The 26,411-nt window shown below is 37.1% G+C and overlaps 1 protein-coding gene across 11 annotated transcripts in view; it reads right to left on the bottom strand.

Moving 5' to 3' along the window:
* HELLS (helicase, lymphoid specific) overlaps nt 1,142-26,411 on the bottom strand; it is a 68,118-nt gene continuing 42,848 nt past the window's right edge. For 10 of the 11 annotated variants that reach the window (NM_001289071.2, NM_001289067.2, NM_018063.5 and 7 more), the window contains 9 exons: nt 24,495-24,634; nt 24,271-24,409; nt 22,735-22,818; nt 22,533-22,652; nt 21,432-21,548; nt 20,193-20,352; nt 18,091-18,187; nt 17,936-18,012; nt 12,948-13,519 (listed from right to left, as the gene is read on the bottom strand). In NM_001289071.2, coding sequence (NP_001276000.1) covers nt 13,425-13,519; nt 17,936-18,012; nt 18,091-18,187; nt 20,193-20,352; nt 21,432-21,548; nt 22,533-22,652; nt 22,735-22,818; nt 24,271-24,409; nt 24,495-24,634 — 1,029 coding nt within the window. In that variant the 3' untranslated portion in view covers nt 12,948-13,424. Of the gene's footprint in view, nt 5,195-7,020; nt 13,520-17,935; nt 18,013-18,090; nt 18,188-20,192; nt 20,353-21,431; nt 21,549-22,532; nt 22,653-22,734; nt 22,819-24,270; nt 24,410-24,494; nt 24,635-26,411 lie in introns of those variants that run through there. The other variant, XR_007061960.1, reaches the window with a different exon arrangement.

The raw sequence follows: 26,411 nt of genomic DNA, 5'->3' as shown, positions 1-26,411 counted from the left end.
TGAATGGATTTTACCAACAAACTGGAAGATTATATAACTCCGTTATATATGAGACTAGAAAACTCAAGACAGGTCAAAAATCTCAAACTGAGCACAGAGAAAAAAAAATAATGAGAAGACTAAAGTAGTGAATGAAACATGTGGGATATATCCAAAAGATCTAAAGTTAGAATCTCTGAAAGAAAGGAGACAGAGAATGGGGTATGTGGCAAACAGACTTGAAGATGGCCTCCGTGATTCCCACCTCCTTTGTTCACACCTTTCTGTGACCTCAAACGATCCTGTTGGACTGCATCATTCTTTGTTGTAAGGGGTTGTCCTGTGCTTTATGTTTAGCATCTCCAGCATCTACCCACTGGATTACAATAGCACTCTACAGTTTTAACAACCAAATGTCTCCTGATCTTGACAAATGTCCTCTGGAGGACAAAATCACCCAACTGAGAATCACTGATCTATACTGGGGGAAAAGAATCCCATCAGTGGCTGCTCCTGAAGCTGGAGGTGGGGCAGGGATTGACTAGGCTATAACACAAGGAAACAACTGGAGATAACAGAAATGATCTGTATCTAGGTTTTACCAGTCATTATACAAACATATATACATATGTAAGTATAAATTATAGGTAGCTTATAGACATTTTATATATAAGTAAAATTACAAGTAACTTATAAAAAACTGTCAAAATTCATGTAATTGTACACTTAAAATGCACTTATTGAGGGCTGGAGGGGGTGATGGTCTCCTATGACGTCAGAACAGGAGGTTGTCTGGGGAGGGGACCTCTGAGACTTGAGTCCCACAACTCAAGACTCAAGCAGGATTTCAGGACACAGAAGTTCAGGACAGAGCCCAAGGGCCCAGGAAGTACCGTGGGGTCTTTTGGGGCCTGAATCTATCCCTGACTCTGGTGCCCAAAGAAAGAAAAGCTTCAATGATGCGTCCACCTGCACATGAGCAACTGTTTAAGGATGGAGGGTTTGACCCAAGTGATGGATGAACCAGCTCTACTTTCTCTATACTTCGCCCATTACTAAAAAGACCTTAAAATGAGCAAATACCAGGTATCAGTTGTGTACAGAAATATGGAGTCTTTAACACATATATTTCTCAAAAATAATTAACCGAGCAGTCAAAACATAAGCACATAGCTACATATTTATTAAACAGGAAAACATATATAGAGAAATTTACCCTCAATAATCAGAAAATATACATTCTTTTCAAGTACAACTGGAAGCATTCACTAAATTAACTATGTACTAGGCCACAAAGATGCAACAATATACTCCAAAAAGTTAATATCATGCAAATCATGTTCTCTGACAATAATCCAATATAGAAAGAAAGCAATGATACAATTTTAAAAGAATATACCAGCAAACTAAATATCTAAGAAAACCTTCAGTTAAAAGGAAATCATGAAAGAAGTTAAAAAACACAAAATTAAATAACAATGAAAACAGTACCAGTCAAAACTTATGAGAAAAGTCTAATAAAGCATTTAGGGAAAAAATTATATCTTTAAATATCTTATTACAGAATAAACATCGAAAGCAAATCAAGCATTTAAGATGTTGCTTATTTTATAGCAAACACAAATTAACAACGAAGAAATGTTTAAGATGAAAGCAGGAATCAACGAAACATGTCAGAGATTTAACAAAACTAAAAGCTGATTCTGGGAGATTAATATAATAGGCAGAACTGGCAAAGCTAACCAAAAGAAAAGCAGAGATGCAAAAAAATAAAATGGAAGAAATGCAAAATTGAACAATTGCCACATTATGAGAATGGCAAAAATTAGGCAAATGAAGTACTGGCAAGGATGTGAGGAAATGGGTACTCAACTCAGTCCTGCTGGTAGGGGTGTAAACTCACAATCGTTCTGAAAAGTACATAAGTACTTAGTGAAATTTACCAGAGAAATTCTTGCATAGTTCTGTAAGTGAATAAGTTAAATGTGGTGGATACACACTGAAGAATTAAATGTACACAGAGCAATATGAACAAATCTCCAAAATATAGTAGTGAGTGAAAACTAAGTAACAGCATGGAACATTAGAGGTAGCACATCCTACATACCAAGTTGTCAAATATACAATCCCTGTACACCTTTATTTTTTGAGACAGTCTCACTGTCACCCAGGCTAGAATGCAGGGGCACAATCTTGGCTCACTGCAACCTGTCTTCTGGGTTCAAGTGATTCTCATGCCTCAGCCACCAAAGTAGCTGGGATTACAGGTATGTGTGCCACCACATCCAGAAAACTTTTTGTTTTAGTGGAGACGGGGTTTCACCATGTTGACCAGACTAGTTTCAAACTCCTGGCCTCAAGTGATCCGTTCGCCTCGGCCTTCCAAAATGCTGGGATTACAGGCATGAGCCACTGAGCCTGACCCCACCCCCTTTACATTTTTAAAAATGTCTGAGGTCCTCAAATAACTTTTACTTATGAGGATTACATTGATCGAAGAAATTGGAACTGAAAGTTTCGGAATATACAAGCACACATTCTATTACCCATCAGTGATGTCATGACATTATATAGCTTCTGTAAAACTCCACTGTTCACTTGTGAATATGAGGAAAAGGCAAATAACATCATAGTGCCAGTATAAAAATTTTGATCTCACATATTCCCTGAAAAGGATCTTGAAGGTTCAATACCACATCTTGATAGTGATCAAGAGATACATTAACTTCCTTTTTTCTGTCTGTGACTCTTGGTTAGGGCAAATTTCAAATCCATTATAATACATACATTGCAGCAACACTGAGTTTCTTATAATAGGTACTATCCAAAGCTTTCTTTTTTTTACATGTATCACTTAATCCTCACAACCACCTGAGGATTAATACCATTTACCTGTCTTACAGATAAGGAAAACAATCATTTTTCAATTATGACTATGCCCCCAAACACTGGTTTGGATGGAGCCTTCACTGGTATAGAGAATGACCTTCTTCCCTTAGACTAGACTCTGGCTATAATAAAGGATGGTTTAATCATCCCCTGAAGCAATGCATAAGATAATCTGCAATGTATCTTCACATACTGTACCTTATTTGATAGGCAAGAGACCCATAAAGGAAGCTGAGCATGGATTATCAGCTTCATCACAAATCTGAAGAAACTGACATTTATGTTATGTTGCCTTACCCAAGTTGGGACATCAGAGCAGCAACTAAAATCCAGGTCTTCTTCCTATTACATGCCGTAAAAGGTATTGTTTCTTTCCCTCCCCTCAAAATTTTCAGTCAAATGTCAGCTTTTAGGAAGAGCCAATCACTCTGAACTAGAATTGTTCTCTTCACTTAAAATTTCTCAAGCCTAACTTCTTTTTGGGTCCTACAAACCGGGAAAATACCTCAGAATTGGAACCACATGTTTACAGTATAAGAAATGACACAAGTGTGACTTGGGCAAAAAGAGGATAACTTTCCCCTTCAGAGAAATAATCCCTTTATCCAAGGCCTGGAGATTAGTGTTTGAGGTAGAATAAAAGCACAGTAAAATGATTCTATGGTTTGAATTTTGGCTCTTCTGCTCAAGTACTTTCTTTGGTAGTATACTAATTACCACTGAATTACTAATTATTAATTATTATTAATTACTAATAAAAGTAAAATGTAGTAGTGGTGGTGGTCTCTTTGAGTTATTGAACATTAAGTAGCAAACATTACATTAAGTACTTTATGTACACTCTTTCACTTACCATGTCCTTGAGATGATTATGACTAAATTTAATAAATGTCCTTTTGTGCACTAACCCATTTAAACCCCACATCCTTGAGATAGGAATAACTATTACTTCCCGCACTTGCAGAACAGTTTATAACTGCTACAGCCAGGCCTTAGCTACTATGCAATATTATAAAACTAAGAGTACAAAAACGAAGAAATCATGAAAGTCCCTTCAGTACAGCCAGAAAAGAACACTTCTAATTACTCAGAGAAATACATGTTGTGCCAGTCGCTTTATCTCCTTTAGCGAGGGAAATCTTCTAAGGTCTTCAATGACATAATGTCACTGAAACTATTCCCTCACACTTAAATAATGTACATGAAGATAAAATTCTAGGCTGTAATTTTCTTCCTTCGACACACTGGAAATTTTACTTTTTATCTTACTATTAAAACATCTGTTATCGGCCAGGTGCAGTGGCTCACACCCTGTAATCACAGCACTTTGTGAGGCCGAGGCAGGCAGATCACCTGAGTTCAGGAGTTCGAGGCTAGCCTGGCCAACATGGCGAAACCCCGTCTCTACTAATTAAAATACAAAAATTCTGGGAATGGTAGTGGGAGCCTGTAATCCCAGCTACTTGGGAGGCTAAGGCTGGAGAACTGCTTGAACCTGGGAAGCGGAGATTGCAGTGAGCCAACATCGTGCCATTGCACTCCAGTCTGGGCGACAAGAGCAGAACTCCATCTGAGAAAAAAAAAAAAATCTATTATCTGATCAATGTTCCTTTGTAGGTGACCTTTCTCTGAAAGATTTCTAAGATTGTTTTTGATGCTCTTATTTGCTCTATAATGCATACAGGTATAGGGAATTTCTTGTTTTCTGTTTAACAGTTAACAAATGAGGTCTTTTTTTTTTTTTAAGTAAGAAACAAGGTATCGCTCTGTTGCTAGACTGGAGTGCAGTGACGCGATCTCGGCCACATGATCCACTAGCCTCAGCCTCCCAAACTGCTGGGATTACAGGCACCACTGCGCCCGGCCTCATTTATTTCTTTAATTCTAGGAAACAGTATTTTTTTTAATCCAGTGTATTCGCTTGGTTTTTCTAGCTTTATTACTGCTTTGTTTCCAACATGCTGTTATATAGTGGTGACAAAACAAACAAGATGCTCAATCTCATGGAAATTATGAGGCAGACAGATTAGCAACAGTGGGATATTTTGCAGGGGAGAGGGAGACCATACATTCTAGGTGAAATGTGAGCTAAGACCAAATTAGCAAGCAGCTATCATGCACGTATCTGAGTGAGGAACACAGCTAAACGTCAATTCCAAACAATAACGAATTGATCAATGATGAATTTAATCTCAGAGTTGCTGGATGCCTCTCTTCAGGTCTGCTCAGACCTCAATTTTCCAATCTTGTCCCCCAAGAAAAAGATTAAACCTGTCTTGTGCTGAGTAGTGTAATATTCCAGTACGGCTTCTCTTGCGCCCTAGTGCTAGTACGAAGAGAAATCAATGAAAAATGTAGAAACAAGTTTGAGTACAATAGGAACAGGAAAAAGCAAAGCTTCTTGCCACGCCATGCTCCCAAATGTGCCTGTGTCTGATTCTCAGCACTAACTACTCATGTGAGACATCTCAACTTGATAAAACATTAAAATGGATTTTTGTCTCACACCATTCAAATACCCAGACAGAATAATTTTAGTGTTCAGTGGCACTTCCAAATCCTAACTCAAGTACAGTAATAAATGGTAGAGACTTAAGAGAGGCAAGATATACATGTAACTGATCTGGTCTCACGAGGGATTCTCTTACGATGTATTTCATCTACAGTAAGAGAAATCATCTTATTAACATTCCCCAAACTTCATTACTTAACACACCTATCATAGTTTTTGCTATGCAGAATTAATCCATGGTAATACGGATTATGAAAGTGAATCACCCTGAGATGGGGTTATTAACTAAAAGGGCAAAGAGAAGCTAATGAAATGCTAATGTGGATGGTAAAGTGGTGGATATATACTGGGCGCAGTGGCTCATGCCTGTAATCCCAGCACTTTGGGAGGCCAAGGTGGGTGGATCACCTGAGGTCAGGAGTTCGAGACTAGCCTGACCAACATGGAGAAACCTCATCTCTACTAAAAATACAAAACTCGCCGGGCGTGGTGGCACATGCCTGTAATGCCACCTACTCGGAAGATGGAGGCAGGAGAATCGCTTGAACCTGGGAGGTGGAAGTTGCAATGAGCCAAGATCGCACCACTGCACTCCAGCCTGGGCAGTAAGAGCGAAACTCCATCTCAAAAAAAAAAAAAAAAAAAAAAAAAAAAAGAGGTGGATACAGACAAAAAGTGTAAATCAAGCTAGCGCTTGCAAGATGTTTATATTGTACTGAAAGAAAATTGTGGGCTGGGTGCGGTAGCTTATGCTATTGGGAGGCCAAGACAGGAAGATTGCTTGAGGCCAGAAGTTGCAGCCGCCAGAAGTTGCAACAGTTTGCAAACAAGGCTTTAAAAAAATTTAAAAAAACACCTCAATTCTACAAAAAAATTTAAAAATTAGCCAGGAGTACTGGCACACGTTTGCAGTCCCAGCTGCTCAGAAGGCTCAGTGAGAGGATCCCTCAAGCCCAGGAGTTGGAGGCTGCAGTGAATTATAATCACGCTACTGCCTGGATGACACAGTGAAGAAAAAGAAAAAAAAAAACTAAAAAACTGCCATATCTGTGTTATGACTATACTGTTTTACAAATAACATTTCTTTTTAAAATGAAAAAAGAAATGAAAGAGACCTTTCTTTGACCACTTTAATTGTATGAGTTGTGGTAGACAGTATTTAGCATGACAACCACTCATATATTATTTTAAAAATGTCCTAAAATACCTTAGAGAAGAGCAACAGTTCACATGCTACTCTTTTAGGGTGCTGTAAGAAAGACAGTGAAGGATATAGAAGAATTTAAAGTGCTAAGACTCAGGAAGACATAAAAGATACAGTGACATGCTTGCAGGGCCAATCTATAATTAGGCTAAAGGATATGTAAGATTTCTAAAAAGGACAATAGGAAAAATTATTAACAAGTTCATACTGTCTTTAGACCTCATTTATCCTCAAACTGGAAACTGTGGAATAAGTTTTAAGAATACATTTCAACCAAATGTAAATAAATTTATAAACATATTCTAGACTAATTTAAATAGAAATTCAGAATGAAATAATTCTTTGAAATAAAGACTACGGAACTTAAAACTATCAGAAGCACTTAATGTTCTTAATGTAAAAATTAGGGCTTTGTAGGCTTCTTATAAAATCTTACCTCAGGCCACGCAGTGGCTCACGCTTGTAATCCCAGCACTTTGGGAGGCCGAGGTGGGCAGATCACCTGAGATCAGTTCGGGACCAGTCAGGCCAAGATGGTGAAACCCTGTCTCTACTAAAAATACAAAAATCAGTTGGGTGTGGTGGCATGCACCTGTAATCCCAACTACCCAGGAGGCTGATGCAGGAGAATCGCTGGACCCCGCTCGGAGGCAGAGGCTGCAGTGAGCCGAGATCACGCCACTACACTGTAGCCTAGGCGACAGAGCAAGACTCCGTCTCAAAAAAACAAGACAAAAAAAAAACTTATCTAAAATTGCTAAGACTAAAAAAATCATATACCATTGCTAAGACATTGATGAAAGATTTCATCACACGTTTGCTTGGAAATGTTCAAGTACCACCTTTACCATACCTCTTAACACCTTCAAAATATGGAATAGTGACTCACTAAAGAAATAAAGCCAAAAAGTATTTTTTATACTTTGATCAGGTTCTCAAAGATAAGGCCTAGTTTAAGAATAATTTTTCATGTAAGACAAGACAGGGAGTATTTGTTTCTACATCATGAAATGAGTCCATCTATTCCCCTCTGTCCCTTACTAAAATCTGGAAACTAAATGACTGTAAAAAATGAAACAGGTGTTAAACACCCCCAGACAATAAAATAGAAGCAATGGCAAAGCAAGATTTTGGGAACTGAAAAATAAATGGATCAGTGTTAACTGACTCAATAGACAACAGAAATGAAAGTATCAGTGTTAGATAGAGGTTTTCACTAAAAAACCCAGAAGTGGTTGAAAGAAGAGTCAAACACCATGGCCCCATACCTCCCTGTAAAGTAATTACCACTCCCCCTCACAGTGTAAGAAATGTCACGACTAACTCACTGAAAAGGGTGAATCAGTCTGGAATAGGGGAATCCACATATAGACAGGGTAGAGTATTTTACTGAAAACTGAGGAAGTCTACATTTTGAACAGTAAAATCTCTAATACACTGTCCCTCCTCCTCACCCCAAAAGAAAACTGGCAAAGTACATATACTCACACAGGACAAGTGATTAGAGAATTTCTCTCAGATATATATGTACATATTCTCTCTCATATACATATACTGACAATTGGGTGACCCTCAAATAAATGGTCTAGTGAAATCACACTGGAGTAAAATCCACCTGTTGAGAACCCTCATGCATGGAGCTTAGAGAGATTTCTTCTAGCTCTTAAATTTGAGGAACAGTAAATGATCCCAAGGCATTTGAAGAAGCATCAAAATAAAAGACAGACTAAACTTTAAAAAGGGAAGAATCATTTAATGAAACAAGACTATGCAGATGGGGGAAAGAAATTTTGTTACGAGTTCTAGGCAGAAGTGCTAGTGGTGGTGGCTCATACATATAATACCAATGCTTTGGGAAGCAAACATAGGAGGACCCTCTGAGAACAGGAATTCAAGACGAGCCTGGGCAACATAGCAAGACCCTGTCTCAAGAAATTTTTTTTTTTTTTTTAAATTATCTGGGCATAGTGTCACATGCCTGTAGCCAAGATATTCTGAAAGCTGAGATGGGAAGATGGCTTGAGCCCAGAAATTCAAGAATGTAGTGAGCTATAGTTGCACCACTGCTCTCCAACCTGGACAACAGCAAGACCATGTCTCATTCAAACAAAAAAATTCTAGGCAGAGAAGGGACCACACATTCAAAAGACAAAACCCTCCAAGAAATCATTCTAAAAAATCCCCATGAATTAAAAGACAGATTTTCAGACTGAGCTGATTCAAGAGTAAAACAAAACAAAAATAAGATACACAACATAAAGATGGGCATGGTGTCACATGAGTGTAGTCCACATTACTTGAGTGACATAGGGGGAAAGATAACTTGAAACCAGGAATTCACAAGTCTGTGCAACATAGCAGGAGTCTCTTTAAAAATGAAAAAAAAAAAGAAAAAAAAAAAAGACCCATACCAAGACACATCACTGTGTTATTAATTTAGAATACAAAAGACAAAGAAACACTGGAAGCTCACATTAACAAAAGGCTGGTTCCCCCCACCTTCAACAGACTGGAAATCAAAGCAGCATTCGGGCCAGGTGCAGGAGCTCACACCTGTAATCCCAGCCCTTTGGGAGGCCAAGCCGGGGGGAATTGCTGGAGCCCAGGAGTTCAGGACCAGCCTGGGCAACATGGTGAGACCCTGTCTCCACAAAAAATTAAAAATTTAGCAGGGCATTTGGTGCATGGCTGTGGTCCAAACTAAATTGGTGGCTGAGGCAGGAGGATCACTTGAGCCCGGGAGGTCAAGGCTGCAGTGAGCTGTATTCATGCCTAGGTGACAGAATGAGACCCTGTCTCAAAAAAAAAAAAAAAAAAAAGGAACCATTAATTTTCTCTCCCACAACACTGGAAGTTCTGAGACAACACAACAACTTTCGAAATTCTGAGAAGATAATAATTCCTACTCTAAAATCCCAAACCAGAACTATCCATCAAATATAAGAATCCAACAAAAATACAGCCAGATATGCGAGTTCTCAAAAAATTCATTTCCCTTGAATTCTTTTCTTGGGAAAACACAAGACAACATAATCCATCAAAGTGAGCGAGTAAACCAAGGAGGAAAAAAAGTTAGATCCAGCCAGGCGCAGTGGCTCACACCTGTAGTACCAACACTTTGGGAGGCCGAGGAGGGTGGATCACCTGAGGTCAGGAGTTCGAGACCAGCGTGGCCAACATGGTGAAACCCTGTCCCTACTAAAAATACAAAAATTAGCTGGGCATGGTGGTGGGCGCTTGTAATTCTAGCTACTCAGGAGGCTGAGGCAGGAGAATAGTTTAAACCTGGGAGACAGAGGTTGCAGTGAGCCGAGATCAAGCCATTGCACTCCAGCCTGGGCAACAAGAGTGAAACTCTGTCTTAAAGGAAAAAAAAAGGGGGGGGGGGGGAGACACAAGACACAGTAAACAGTAATTCCAAAACATGAAACAGCCAACAGGAATACCCAGGAGTATGGTAAAGGAAGGTTCCAGATGGAATCAGTTCTACAGTCCAAACTAGAAGAATGTTCCAGGGAGTAGAGGTGATGGGATATATTTGGAGGGGGAGGTTTATTACTGAATCATGAGATCTGTTTTAATATACTGAGGGGCTTATATTTCCAGAGTGATTAGATATAAATTACTGGTAGGTAAAAAACAGTTAAGTATTAACTTCAGGGAGAAAAAAAAAGCTGCACAAGAATGAAAATAAAATCACAGCATATTCCATGGCTTATCTAAAGCTTTAATAATACTTACACAGCCATAATAAAAGTAATTATTGAGCCAATCAAAAGTTATATAACTACACTAAAAAGATGTAAGGGATCATTATTTCATGTTGAAGTGGTGAGAGGTGGTAGGAATGCAGGCTTTTCAAGAAGGTATTTCTAAGAATTTTTAAGCATTTGCTCTTAAATATGAGGAACAGTAAATGATCCCAAGGCATCTGAAGAAACATCAAAATAAAACACTAAACTAAGGGGAAAATCAAATGAAACAGACTATGTGGGGGGTGGCGGGGGGTGGGGGCAGAGACATGACGACTTTTATAGAAAGTAGGCTGGGCGCATTGGCTCAGGCCTGTAATCCCAGCACTTAGTCCGAGGCAGATGATCAGTTGAGGTGAGGAGTTCGAGACCAGCCTGGCCAACATGGTGAAACCACGTTTCTACTAAAAATAAGAAAATTAGCCAGGTGTGGTGGCGCACACTTCTAGTCCCAGCTACTCGGGAGGCCAAGGAATGAGAATCACTTAAACCCGGGGGGCAGATGTTGCAGTGAGCCAAGATCACACCACTGTACTTCAGCCCAGGTGACGAAGTGAAACTGTTTATAAAAAAAAAAAAAAAAAAAGCCAGATGTGGTGGCTCACGCCTGCAATCCCAGCACTTTGGGAGGCCAAGGCGGGCAGATCACAAGGTCAGGAGTTGGAGACCAGCCTTACCAACATGGTGAAACCCAGTCTCTACTAAAAATATAAAAATTAGCCAGGCATGGTGGCATGCACCTGTAACCCCAGCTGCTCAGGAGGCTGAGGTAGGAGAATCGCTTGAACCCGGGACACAGAGATTGCAGTCAGCTGAGATTGCACTACTGCACTCCAGCCTGGGCGACAGTGCGAGACTCAAAAAAAGGGGAAAAAAAGGAAAGAAAGAAAAAGTACAGGCAACAAGATTTCCTTTAGAATCAGACATGAAATATGAGGGAAGGAAGAGAAGAATGACTCTAAGATTTTTGGTTTAAATAACTGGAAGAATAAAGTTGTCATTTATTGAACTAAGGAAAATGCAAAAGAAGTAAATTTGGATTAAACAAGATGAAAAGTACAGATATAGTTATCAAGCACCTAGTAAACAGTCGGATATGTGAATCTGGAATTCAGGAGAAAGGTTCTGGCTGGAGATATAAATTTGAGTCACCAGCACAGTTCCCATTAAAGAAATGAAGACCATCAAGGGAATCCCAAACTAGGCTTAGGATATTTCAATGTTTAGAGGATAGAAAAGGAAACAGCAAAGGAAACTGAGAAAAGAGTCAGAGAAATAGGAAGAAAAAGCAGGAAAATATGTTTCCTAGAAGCCAAATAAAGTAAATGTTTTAATGGAGAAGAGTCAACAACTGTATGAAATGCTGCTAATAGATCAAGTAAAATGAGGTCACTGACGTCACGAGACCTTAAAAATACCAGCTCCAATGGAAATGAATATCTGATTGGAATGGGTTCAGAAAAAACAGAACAAACTAAAAACAATGAATACAGGCAAGGAGTTTTGCTATAATAGAACTCTTTTTCAAGGAGCTTTGTTATAAAAGAAATGAGACATTGCAATTGGCTCAAGCTACGACAAACAATATATCCGCAGTATATAATAAAGGGCAGATGGGGACAGATGGGCACAGATGCTAGGTTTACAGATGCAACGGTGACAACTTTTAAAGATTCTTTTCTGACTGCGTCTATTTTCTCAGGGCAATAGGGAGCAAAGTGAGAGGGAGGAGATATGAGACGTGCAATGACAGAGTAAAACTATGAAACCAGTCATTTAGGACAATGTAACAGGAAAGACTGGGTCACTAAGGACAAGATCACGAGTTTCAAGCAAGCCTAGGTCAGCATGCTTATGTAATGGGTTAACATTTTGACTTAAAAAACAAATAAACCTGCTCTATAGTCTTTTATTTAACCAAATGTTCTATCTGAAGTTTTTCTTCACCACCAAAGAACTTATCCATGTAACCAAAACCCACCTGTACCTCAAAACGATTAAAATAAAAATTTAAAAGAAAAGACCTGTGCCAATAGGACACAGGGAAAAAAAATTAAGTTTTTCTTAAGTGACGGTTCCATTATCCTTAACAGATCATCTGATCTGCATTTGAATATACATGGCAACAGCAATATTTTTCCATGAAATAAACACTAACACAGAAATGTATGGCTTATGGAGTATGTCCCCTCTCCAGGGTACATTCAGGATTTCTCTTCCTCATTGTCTGATATCCTTTCACACAGGGTCTAAATTGTGCCTCTTTTGGCCTTTATGCTGTTCTATTACAGATTGTGCATTACTTACATATTCCTAAGGCCTATTCTCTTATATTTGGTTCTAGTTAACCCACTACTATAAATTTTCAGGGTCTGTCTTGTTTTGCATGATACACTACCATTTCCAATTTCTAGTCGTTTCTCAAGACCCTAAAGTTTCATTCAGAAACTTCTCTTGTGCTAACACAATGTCCACTTGAAATCTCTATATGACACACTCCTATAGTACTAGTGAATGAAACCAAGAAAACAAAATAACCAAATCCTACCGACAGCCAAGTCTTTTGCTATTATTGCACCTAAGCTATTCCTGAAGAAATAATTTAATGAGATCATCTTATAAGGAACATTTATTTGGTAAACTATCTCATAGAAATAGACTCTAAAATCAAACAGTTTCTTAAACAACAGAGAGCATAATCCCAATCTCTCCCCATGAAAAGCCTACTTCATAACTGAAGTACCTAAAGCCCATGAACTGCATTACTAGAAGAAAGGAGGGAAAAAGACATTTACTAAACTTCCACAGGAAGACTGTATAAATCTGGAAGTGGTTAAGTACACATCAGCCTGTATCCAAGAATACTACTCAGTCTCAAAAATTAACTGAAAATCTAAACTTAATATGGATACTTCTTTGTTCTTGGTAAGGCTCAGAAAATTACCATCTATTTAAGTACGCATGGTACTAGTTACATGTCAACTGATATAATAAAAAAGGTGAAGTGGACAATCAGTATTTCAAACCCAATACAGGGAAATCACTAGATGTAAATAAGAACTTTTAAAAGCTATTCTTGAGCTCCACTTTAAAACAAACATTCAGGACTGGAATCTTCAGAATTTTCTAATATCTTGAATATCCCCATCTTCTCTTTAATTGGTCCTGAAGCATTCATTTGATCTAAGGGAAAAACATTAAAACAGGTACATTTTAGAAGTATAAGAAGAAGAAATCGTAAAAGAAACATCCAATATGATGTTATGAGAAGTGAGTCATCTGTCCAAAATTATAAAACTCACAGTAATACAGGGCACTCTCTTCCTTAATCACCAAGATTTAATAGCAGTGAAAGCAAAAAGGTACACTATTCTTAATACAACAACTAGAATCAGACTCTTGGGAGCATACAATCTAAAGCATCAGTTTGCTAGTCAAAATCGCTTTTGCTGAATTTAAGGTAAGATAAACAAGTCAAAGAGCAATAAATAATATCAATTTGAATCATGTTGTCAGAAACGTTTTAAAAAGAGGCCCAATCACGATTCGTTTAATAGCTGAAAACACACCACAAAAAGCTTACCTTGAGAAACATTTTGAATCAATGACAATATGTAGTCTCCTAAATTTTTATCAACATGACAGCTGTGAAATGAAATCTGATTTTCATTTGTATTACTGATTTCTAATCATCCTTGTCTGTTCATCAGACATTTCTTTCTCTCTTGGTAATAGCCTGCTCTTATATTATCCGTTTTCATTATCAACTTTTATTTACTTGCATATCCTAAACACTTCCTGTTATATGTTGCAAATATTATTTGTGGTTTGTCTCTTATCTCTTTATGGTGTCATCTGTCTTATAGTAGTCTTTCCTATTAATGTAATTAAAATCTATGAAACCTATCATATAATTTGTGATTTCTGTATTATAAAGAATTCTAATTCTAAAATCATAAATATATTTTCTTGTCTTTTTAGGTTAAAATTCTACCTTTAATATTTAGGTTTTGAACACGTGGATTGTTAATTTATCTGAAGTTTGTAAGTGCAGTGTGAGGAGAGGAGAATCTAAGTTAATTTTTCCCCTATTAATTACTATTTCCCCAGATCATCTATTGATTAATAGGAATTTCCTATCAGTTGTTTGAAGTTCCATTTCACATTTATTAGCTTTTCGTGAAAGTTGTCTTTCTAGATTCACCATATTGTACTTCTAGCCAATATATCACACCATGTGCTAATTCTACCATCTTGATTATTATGACTTTTAAATTTTTAATAAGACTTTATACCTGGTATAGAATATCTTGTGCTTCAAAACTGTCTTGGTTCTGGCCCTTTATTACTCTCTCATATAAATTTTAACAACAGTCTGTTTTACAAAAAGTCATTCTGGGATTTTTTTTTTTTTTTTTAAGAGACAGAGTCTCGCTCTGTCACCCAGGCTGGAGTGCAGTGGCACAATCTCCATTCACTGCAACCTCCACCTGCCAGGTTCTAGCAATTCTCCTGCCTCAGCCTTCTGAGTAGCTGGGATTATAGGCACATGCCTCCATGCCCCGCTAATTTTTTCTATTTTAGTAGAGACAGGGTTTCACCGTGTTGCCCAGGCTGGTCTCTAACTCCTGAGCTCAGGCAATCCACCTGCCTCAGCCTCCCAAAGTGATAGGATTATAGGCATGAGCCACCACACCCAGCCATCATTCTGGGATTTTAATTAGAAGAAAAATTCAAGAATATAAGTTAGTTTTGGGGACCACTGACTTACACTTTGTAGTAACCATTCATATCCACAAATACAGCTAAATCTGCATGTTTACTCAGTCTTTCTATTAACGTCCTTCAATGTTTCATAATTCTGTCCTTATATAAACATGTTAAAAATTGTTAAACTTTAATTGTAGGCATGTTAATTTTGTAGCTGTTGTAAAAACCTTCATTATTAAACAATTATTGCTGTTACACATATTATTAATAAGCAATCTTCTTAAATTCTATTTTAAAAGATTCTGGATTCCCTTGGACTTCCTATGAAGATAATCAAACCAGACCACTTGCAAATAAAAGCAGTTTCGATAATGCCAGCACTTTAGGAGGATGAGGCAGACAGATCACTTGAGCCCAGGAGTGTGAGACCAGCTTGAGCAACATGGCAAACCCCTGTCTCTACAAAATACACAAAACAAAATTAGCAGGACATAGTAATCACACCTGCAGTCCCAGCAACTTGGGAGGCTGAGGTGTGGGGATTGATTGAGCCCAGCAGGTTAAAGCTGCAGTGAGCCATGATCACACCACTGAACTCCAGCCTCGGTGACAGAACGAGACTTTGTCTCAAATAAAAAAAAATTATGAAGATGATTACGATATTATGGCAAGTTGGTTTTTGGTATCTAATTAGGTGATCATCTAGTTCTCCATTATTTAATTGATATGAATTATATTATCAGATGTTAAACAGTCCTTACATGCCTCACATAATGTTGTTTTTTAATATAGTTTAGATTTGACCATGATGCTGTATGTCTCATATTTCTCCCTAAACTATTTCAAAGTTAAAACTCAAATAAACATGCAAATAATCCAGAATATCTAAAACAATTTTGAAAAAGAACAAAACTAGAGAAAGTACACTTCCCATAAAGCTACCTTAATTAAATCAGTGCGATACTGGCATAGGAATACCACAGAGATCAATGGGACAGAATTGAGAATACAGAAATAAATCCTTATATTTATGATCAAATTATTTGCATCAAGGATGACAAGGCCATCCAATAGAAAAAGGATCATCTTTTTAACAAATTAATATTGACATGCAAAAAGATGAAAATTCATTGAAAATAGATCATAGATCTAAATGTAAGAGCAAAAACTATAAAACTATTAAAAGAAAATATCAACACCTTGAATTAGGCAAAGAGTAGTTACAGATGACATAAAAATCATGAGTGAACAGAAAAAAATTTGTTAAAATTGAAATTCATTAAAATTTAAAACTTTTGCTCTTCAGAAGATACTAAGTAAGTAAGTGAAGAGACAGGCCAGAGTAGAAGAAAATGTTTGGAAAATACATCTGATTAAAAAAAAAAAAAAAAAAACTTCCAACCAATATATTTTATTTTGATTCAATAAGACACAGAATTGAATTTTAAAATGAACAACATATTTGAAAATAAGATATCATGACACTGTAGCCAGTGCCACGCAGGTAAATGTTTAACAATTGGGTCTCAAAAAAAACAAAAACTGAGGCACAATGGCTCATGCCTATAATCCCAGCTTACTCCAAAGGCTGAGGCTGGAGGATCCCTTGAGCCCAGGACTTTTAGGCTGCAATGAGCTATAGTCGCACTCCTGCATTCTAGCCAGGAATACAAAGCAAGACCCTTTTTTGTTAAAAACAAAGACTGGGGTTTCTAGTTTCTGCCTGTATCCGTGATATGAATGTTACTGCCATCACCAATTTCAAAAGACCAAAATGTCACGGAATACAGTTGGGAAAAAAAGATTATACAGTATCTCCACCATACAGATGCAACAGACAAATAATCAATAGCCTAGACGACAGTAATATGTTGTAAAATAATTAGGAAATTATGAAGTACAAAATATTATTTTTGTTTTCAAAATAATTCATGGTCATCACTGTAGGCATCAGATCATAAGGTGGTATTCTAAAAACTGATAAAAAAAAAAAAAAGAAGCAATATATCCTGGCTCTCTTCTATCTCAGGGAAACTGTAAGGGAAAGTTCTTAAATAACCCAGCTAATAAAAGAATGACAGAACAAGAAAAATCACCATTTTGCAATGATTAAGTTAATAATGGTTCTTATCAGCCACTTTCAAGGGATACTAAAAATCACCACGTTAGGCTTGGTGCAGTGGCTCATGCCTGTAATCCCAGTGCTTTGGGAGGCTGGGGTGGGCACAACACCTGAAATCAGGAGTTCAAGACCAGCCTGGCCAACATGGCGAAACCCTGTCTCTACTAAAGATACAAAAATTAGCCAGGTGTGGTGGCAGGCGACTGTAATACTAGCTACTAGGGAGGCTGAGGCAGGAGAATCCCTTGAACCCAGGAGGCTGAGGTTGCAGTGAGCTGAGATCGTGTCAGCGCACTCCAGCCTGGGCGACAGGGCAAGACTCTGTCTCCAAAAAAATAAAATAAAATAAAATAAATCATCGTGTTAAGTAAAGGATGAAGGCTGACAAGACACTTTATAACATTATCTTGATTAATCTTAGCTCACTGGAAATAAGAAATCCAGATACGATGTGCCTCCTGGTATGACGAAAAATATGAGAACAAAGCACTGGTATTCTTAACTAAGACAGGAACTTGAATATATTCATTTACAAGTGTTATTTACCAGTTTACAGAAAATATCTGAATTATGGAAGAAGTTAAAGATAATGACATTTATGGGCAAAATGTCATGTCTGAGATTTGATTTTAATACTCTAAGAAGAAAAATGACAATAAAACAAGATTGGATACATGTGGCTGAATGAATTGCACAAGGGGTTCATTACATTATGCTAATTAAGTGTATGTTTCGAAGCTTCCATTAAAAAAAAGCATAATACTTACCAATAAGATCACTTCGATCTAACAACAACTCTAGATCTTTATCACTAATGACCTTCTCTCTTGATCCTTTTATTTCCCTATAGAAAACAAAATATTCAAGTCTATGTGAATAATTCAAAGCTACAAATTAAATCTTTCTAAAATTAAAAACTCACCTTTCATAATCTCTAGATTTTAATAATTCCATTAATTCCTTAGGATCTAAGAAATTCTTAGACAGATTTAATCCAGACTGACCACCTTTGAAATGATCTAAAAAAAATGAGAAATTAAAAACATTAAAATTCCTTTTAAAACTACAATACAACATATTACAAACCAATCACAATGGCTTGCATTAAGAAGGACGGCAAAAAAAAGTGTTGATAAAAAATAAAAGCAAATGAAGCTCTCAGGCTTCGCTGGTAGGACTGGAAAATGATATGTCCACTTTGGAAAAGGCTGGTAGTTTCCAGTAGTTAAACACGCACCCTCCCTAAGATCAAGGACCAAAAAATGCATTATGTCCACAAAGACTTGTACAGGACCAACTTATTCATAATAACCAGAATCTAGAAATAATTTAAATGTCGACCAACAGGAGAATGGAAAAAACAAACTATTCACCAATTAAAAGAAAAAAATTCTACTAAAAACAACACAGATGACTCTGTGTTGAAAAAATATATTCAACAAAATAGCTAAACAGAAAAAAGACTCATCAGTGTGACAAAAATCAGAATACTGGATGCTTCCTAGTGATGGTAAGGGGAGCATAGGAATTACTGGAAAGGGTGAACAAAGAAAATTTCTTGGATGATGAAAATGCTACCTTGATCTCGATGATAGTTACATAGGAGTACATAAATCTGGTCAAACTTCATTAACCTGTACATTTAAGATCTGTGCATTTTGCTGTATGTATGTAATAACTCAACTGAAAAATGTCAGCATTTAAAAAAATCCCTTCAAAATTTTCTACAAAATTAATCTACTAAAAAATCGAAAATAGGGCTGAGCACAGTGGCTCACACCTATAAGCCCAACACTTGAAGAGGCTAAGGCAGGAGGATCACTTGAGTCCAGGTGTTCGAGAACAACCTGGGTAAAAAAGTTAAATGGTCTCTTAAAAAAAAATTATGCTTTTTCCCCAATGCAAGTTCCAATTACAATCTAAATGTTTCACCAAATTAATTTTGTCTAAACCTTAATACACTCTTACCTCAAAACCCAGAGAAAGTATTTACAAGTGGAAAAGGAGTATAAAATAAATTATTAGTGATTTCCAACATTACTTTTCACATTAACATTATCATGTTCCCATTTCTCTAGGGCTTGATGATTTACATAAATGATTTTCAACATTTCTTCAGGTAGCTATCAAGCCATTTATTCAAAGAAAATTTTATGGTGAATGGATAGAAGTATAACTTCTCTAAGGAATCTCAGGAACAAAACTTTTTCACCTATGTCAGTTCCCCACCTCCTCAGAATTTTTTCTAGATTAAAAAGCATTGTTGAGACCCATCTGGTTATGATAAGGAAATGAAAAAGGAAAAAAAAGTGTCCAAAACTATAAAAAGGGCATTCTGCAGTGAAATATTCTGTGAAACAGTGGGTTCAATAAATAAATAGATTTTTTATAACACTTAAATACACTTAATATTTTAATACATGGAACTTGCAAAATATTTATCTTAAAACTTTTAGCAAGCCAATCTCTTATCAGGAACATGTAGTTATCCTTGACCCCTTTTCTCTGCCCATCTGCTCTTCATCTACATATCTACATACTCGCTAACATTCTTTCTTTTATGTCTATGGTGACCAACTTAGTTTAGGCTCCCAAATTCCCCACTGCTTATTTAAATCCTGTCATATCAGGCTGTTAATATTTTTTTTTTTGAGACAGAGTCTTGTTCTGTTACCCAGGCTAGAGTGCAGTGGCACGATCTCGGCTCACTGCAACCTCCTCCTCCCGGGTTCAAGCGATTCTCCTGCCTCAGCTTCCTGAGTAGCTGGGATTACAGGCGCCCGCCACCGAGCCCAGCTAATTTTTGTATTGTTAGTAGAGACGCGGTTTCACCATCTTGGCCAGCCTGGTCTCGAACTCCTGACCTCGTGATCCACTCACCTTGGCATCCCAAAGTACTAGGATTACAGGTGTGAGACACAGAACTCGGCCCAGGCTGTAATATTTTATAAACAAAATAAAAACAAAATCCACAACACACAATGCACAATTTAAACAATAAAGCACTACATAAGTGTTATTTACTTTTATGGATGATCAACTTTTCCAGTTTCCTTTTAGCAGCTGCTCTTTCCACAATTTTCTGATCGATAGTATTTGCTGTAACAAGGCGATAAACAACAACTGGCTTTGTCTGACCAATTCTATGACATCTATCCTGGGCCTGAAGATCCGACTGGGGGTTCTTAAAGTTAAAAAGAAAAATAATATTTAACGGTATTAGGTTAAAATTAACATAAACTCATGTGGATAAAGTCAACATGAATGATCTAGCCAGGAACTTTTAAATAGTGGTGTCTTAATTTAAACTTCCAGAGTGGCTTCATAGACAAAATTATCATTCCACAGATCCTTGACAATATTAACAAAAAAGTTTAAATACCCTAAAGAAAACATTTCAGGATGGGCACGATGACTCACTCCTATAATCTCAGCATTTTGGGAAGCCAAGGCAGGAGGATCATATGAGGATACAAGACCAGCGTGGGCAAACAGTGAGACGTGGTCTCACTAATTTTTACATTTTTTGTGGGCATGGTAGCACACCCATAGACCCAGCTACTTGAGAGAATGAGGTGGGAGGATCACTTGAATCCAAAAGGTCAAGGCTACTGAGCCGTGATGGTGCCACTGCACTCAAGCCTGGGTGATAGTGAGACCCTGTCACTAAAAACAAAAGTAAAAAAAAATTTTCAATTTTTACTTGCAAAAAACTTTATGAAGAAATAACTCTTAGCTGAAAATGGGTATCTTTTCAAAATAGATAAGTAAATTTGTAACATGTACCATTAAAAATTAAAAATTCAGAATGGCCGGGCGCGGTGGCTCATGCTGGTAATCCCAGCACTTAATCCCAGCCTGGGCAACAAGAGCAAAACTCCTTCTCAAAAAAAAAAAAAAAAAAAAATTCAGAATGGAGGCTGGGTGTGGTGGCTCAAGCCTGTAATGCCAGCACTTTGGGAGGCCGAGGTGGGCGGATCACCTGAGGTCAGGATTCAAGAGAGCCTGGCCAACATGGCAAAACCCCGTCTCTACTAAAAACACAAAAATTAGCCAGGCATTGTGGTGTACACCTATAGTCACAGCTACTCAGGGGGCTGAGGCAAGAGAATCACTTGAACCCAGGAGGTGAAGGTTGCAGTGAGCCGAGATCGTGCCACTGCACTCCAGCCTGGGCAACAGAGTGAGACTCCATTTCAAAAAAAAAAAAAAATTCAAAATGGAAATATAATCAGCATATTCCTTGCTATACTTCCAACTTACCCAATCACTATCATAAATGATAACTGTATCTGCTGCAGTCAGATTAATGCCCAGGCCACCAGCTCGTGTACTCACTAAGAAGATAAACACCTCTGGATCCGTGTTGAAGCTGTGCATCTAAAAGCAAAAAGGATGTAAATACAACAGATTAAAATAAATTAACCAACAAGACTGAAGGAGAAAAATGTTTTCAATTACAACTATTAAAGACTTAAACAAAGGAGGCCAAACAAATCATTCAGATCTATAAAACAATTATGTTAACAAAACCTGTGCTGTTAGCTTTATCGTCCAAGCACCTATATTAAAGAGATCTTAATTTTGTTAAAAACCATGTATCACAACAATGTTTAAATAAGAAAAGCTAATATCAAAAAATGATGAAAAAATTGTAGTTGTCTAAACACATGGGGTGGGTGCAGGGGAGAATTGACTAGAAGGGGGCACAGGAAACTTTCTGGGCTGATGGTAACATTCTATATCTTAATAGGGGTTAGGTATAAATTTACATATGCATTTGTCAGAAAGATTCAGCAAATGTATACATTATTTGCTTCAGTATGTGTAAATTTTACCCCAAAAGATAAAATATGCTGAAGTCATTACGGAAAAGGGTAGTATCATCTATATTTTATTTTTAAATGCACCAAAAAACCAGGATTAAATGCTGAATGGATACAGCAAGGCTGCTATTACAGGAAATGTGTTTTTAAAAAGGTATAGTCAAATGTTAACAGCAGATTGTAGGCGGATTTACAGTTGCTTTTTTTTTTTCAACTTTGCCATATAGTTGATATTTTCATAATAGAAAGTTGAGGACAGGGCAAAAAGGCAAAAAATTTCCTGCTATCCCAATATTCTTACAGTGATGGTTAAGTAGGATATTATTAATAAGATTGTGCCAGAAGATATATATATTTGTGAATCAAAAATTAAGACTTCTTAGTACTAAATCAAAATGTTTGTTTTTGATAAAACCACAGGGTTTCTGGTCATTTCTATCTTTTTATCAATTTGTGGGTCTATTTGGAATATTACTTCAGAAATCAAGATAGGAATTATAAAAGAATAGTTTGGTATGTATGACATAAGTAGTCTTACGTTTTTTTCTCTCTCTGAGTAAGACATGGACCCATCAAGCCTGCTGAAGTTGAAATCTCTGAGATGGCAGTAATCCATCAAAATGTCCAACATGCTTGTCATTTGTGAAAAAAGCAGCACCTGAAATTAAACATATCTTAATATTTCTAATGATTGATAAAAAAATAATTGAACAATCCAAAATTCCAATCAAAAGTACCACCTTGTGACCTCTTTTTTTTAGTTCTGGCAGCATTCGATCCAAAATCAAGAACTTCCCAGAATTTGTTACCAATTCTTCATCGATCTTAAGGAGGGGCAAAGGAAGAAAAAATAGAGAGAAAACTGTTATTTGCTTTGTTAAAACAAAAGCCATTTGGAAAGTTCAATTTTCAAAGCCAAGTCACTTAAAAAACTTAAAAACTGACCTGTTATTCAATCTTTGTAAAATCAGAAGATAGTTATTACTCAAAGACATACTCTAGAATGTAAAACCAGCAATTTCACAAAAACAAAGTACAAATATAACTTTGATCTAACCTCAACACTCCTCTCTCAAAGTCATTGTGAAAGAAAACAATTATGTCAAACTTAATGGGTACATACTCAGGCTTATTCTTTATAAGTGAGTTATTTCCAACTAAATGTATATGTAAACTACTGCTAGAATTCTTACCAGAAATTAAGAGAAAATACAGGAGCTGATAAGTAATCTAAATATTGTGGACAAAGACTTTTTCACCTTCTGGTGAAATTCCCTCATGAGAGAGCTACTTTCATTTGAGTGGGAAAGTTTTGTCTTCCTTCTTACTCTAATAAAGATGTAAAGCAGTGCCTCTCAAATGGGGACAATTTTGCCCTCCACCTATCCCCAGGGTATATTTGGCAGCGGCAGCAAACTTTTTAGTTGTCATAACTGAGGGAAGTGAATACTAGTGGCATCTAATGGGTAGAAGACAGGGATGCTGCTAAATGTCCTAAGTGCACAGAACATTACCTCCTAAGAAAGAATTATCTGGCCCAAAATGTCAATATTGCCAGGAGTGGAAAAGCCTATTGTAAACTACCTTGAAACAACTGTGATTGAGGGTTACTAAGAATTTATTTCTATTGATATTATGCTATCATTCTATCAACTACCCAAGAAAGCAACTTCATTTACTTAATTTGAAAACCTCCAAATCAAAACTGGTTTTATTCTATGGCTACCTGTTGATCTTTAAGCAATGAGCAACCAGGCTGATTTTGATAAGCCAAATATTAATGATAAAAGAAATAGTGAAAAGATGACCACTCTCTCTAAAATATAACAAGTAAACATGCAGAGTACAAATCAATTACTAAATTTAGAATTCTTAGTTGTTCACATAAAATATGTAAATAAAAATATAAGTTGCATAGAGGCCAAGCGTGGTGGCTCTTGCCTGTAATCCTAGCACTCTGGGAAGCTGAGGCAGGATTGCCTGAGAAACCAGGAAGTTTGAGACCAGCCTGAGAAACATAGCAAGACCCTGTCTCTATAAAAAATAAAAAAATTTAAAAAACTAGTTGCTCATAGAAAGTGACCATTTTTCTAACCCTGATAAGGTTCTCTGAAATTTCGGAAAGAAGACTGTCTCAGCTTACTGAAGGATTACAATCTTCATGACAAATAGCACCATACTTATTTTTAATAATTATAATCAAAAAAAGTAACACTTTCCACCAATATAAAAGTAATGGAAATCAAAACAGTAAATTAGAATTAAACAGTATTCACCTTAAATTCTTGTGTAACAGGGTCTATAGGATATTCAATCAAATATGGATGATTACAACATTTACGAAGTAGCATCATTATATTCTGCAGCTTCAGATTAACTTCAGATTCTACAGGGATATTCACTTCCACAACAGCTCTACCAAAACAAATAATGCATATATGGGAAATGCAAAAAATGGTCACAGTTTAAAGAATACTTAAATTCACTTTTGAATTCAAACCTTTCTCGGTCCACCTCTGGCTGTATTTGACTGATCAGTTTTTCCAATTCATTAGGGAAATCATCTATTTTGCTGTAATTTATTGATTTTCTAGTTCGTCGTTTTGGTCGACCAGTAGGACTTAACTCAATTGTTTCTTTCTAAAAGGGAACGAATTAAAAGAAATTCAGTTTATAAAGCTATGTCCTTAGGTTCTAAATGTAAACAAAATAAGGCATATTTTATGTACAAAATGACAATCTATAGACAAATACAAATGTTGTGGGAAATTAGTTTAATTTTAACATGGACAACAATATCTGAAAGTAAGAGGAAGGGCCTTCATATCTCAATAGGTAAAAATGAAGGGTGTATAAAACTACTTTGAACTTACACAAAAGGATTTAATACCTTAAAGTTGAAATATGGCTCCGGAAATTTGCAGTACAGAGGATATTTCTTCAGACTGGTGTAACACTGCATGAAACTGCTCATTATGAAATTGCTCATTAACAGACAAATAATGTAAATTTGTAAACGGCTAGACCCTTCCTTTAATTATAATTAATTATTAAAAAGGGAGAAGAGGCCGGGTACGGTGGCTCACGCCTGTAAACCCAGCACTTTCGGAGGCCGAGGCGGGCAGATCACAAGGTCAGAAGATCGAGACCATCCTGGCTACCATGGTGAAACCCCGTCTCTACTCAAAAATAGAAAAAATTAGCCAAGCGTGGTGGCGGGCGACTGTAGTCCCAGCTACTCGGGAGGCTGAGGCAGGAGAATGGCATGAACCCGGGAGGCGGAGCTTGCAGTAAGCCAAGATCATGCCACTACACTCCAGCCTGGGCAACACAGCGAGACTCTGTCTCAAAAAAAAAAAAAAAAAAAAAAAAGTCGGGGGGAGAAGAGTCTGGTGGTCCTATTGTTTAAAAATGCATCACAATAAATATTTTGAAAAGAAAATACGTAGGTTTATAGTGTACAATAAAAAACCTGGAAAGTTAAACAAAACTTAAGGGTCTCCTTCAGTTACATGATAATAACATCCCACCTCTATCTCCTATAATATGGTGGGTGATGAATAATCATCATCAAATTGATTATTAATCTTTTTGGTTATCAATAACCTTCTGTAAGGAAACTGTACAGGTAGAACATCCCTAACGGGAAAATACAAATGCTCCAATAAGCATTTCCTTTCAGTTTCATATCAGCACTCAAAGTTTCAAATTTTGGAGCAACTCAGATTTTGGATGCTCAATCTGTATATCTGGAGATTAGTCTAGTTGCCAAGTCCTTAGTACAGGGATTCTCAAATACCTACCTGTGTGCTTGTTAAAAATGCATTTCCAAGTTCATCTCCAGAAAGCATGATTAGAGTTAATCTGTACGGAAATATACATTTTTTTTTTATTTATTTTTTTTGAGACGGAGTTTCGCTCTTGCTGCCCAGGCTGGAGTGCAAAGGCACAATCTTGGCTCACCACAACCTCCGTCTCCCGGGTTCAAGTGATTCTCCTGCCTCAGCCTTCCTGAGTAGCTAGGATTACAGGCATGCGCCACCACGCCTAGCTAATTTTGTGTTTTTAGTAGAGACAGGGTTTTCTCCATGTTGGTCAGACTGGTCTCAAATTCCCGACCTCAGGTGATCCACCCGCCTCGGCCTCTCAAAGTGCTGGGATAACAGGCATGAGCCACCGTGCCTGGCCTAAATTTTTAGTAAGTATTCCAGATGACTGTAAAGCAATTAATACAAAGATTATCACTTAACATTTTAGCAGGACTCCAGATACTAGGAAACAACTTTTGCCACTAAGCCTTATGCCTTATACCCCAGTTAGAAATTCACCCAAGTCCTAAAAATGAACAAGGGGACCTTAAAACTGGAATTTAGGCCAGGCACAATTGCTAAAACCTGGAATCCCAGCACTTTGGGAG

This window comes from Homo sapiens, chromosome 10 (genome assembly GCF_000001405.40).
Source record: "Homo sapiens chromosome 10, GRCh38.p14 Primary Assembly".
Taxonomy (NCBI): Eukaryota; Metazoa; Chordata; class Mammalia; order Primates; family Hominidae; genus Homo; species Homo sapiens.
This window is presented reverse-complemented; position numbering and strand designations above follow the sequence as displayed.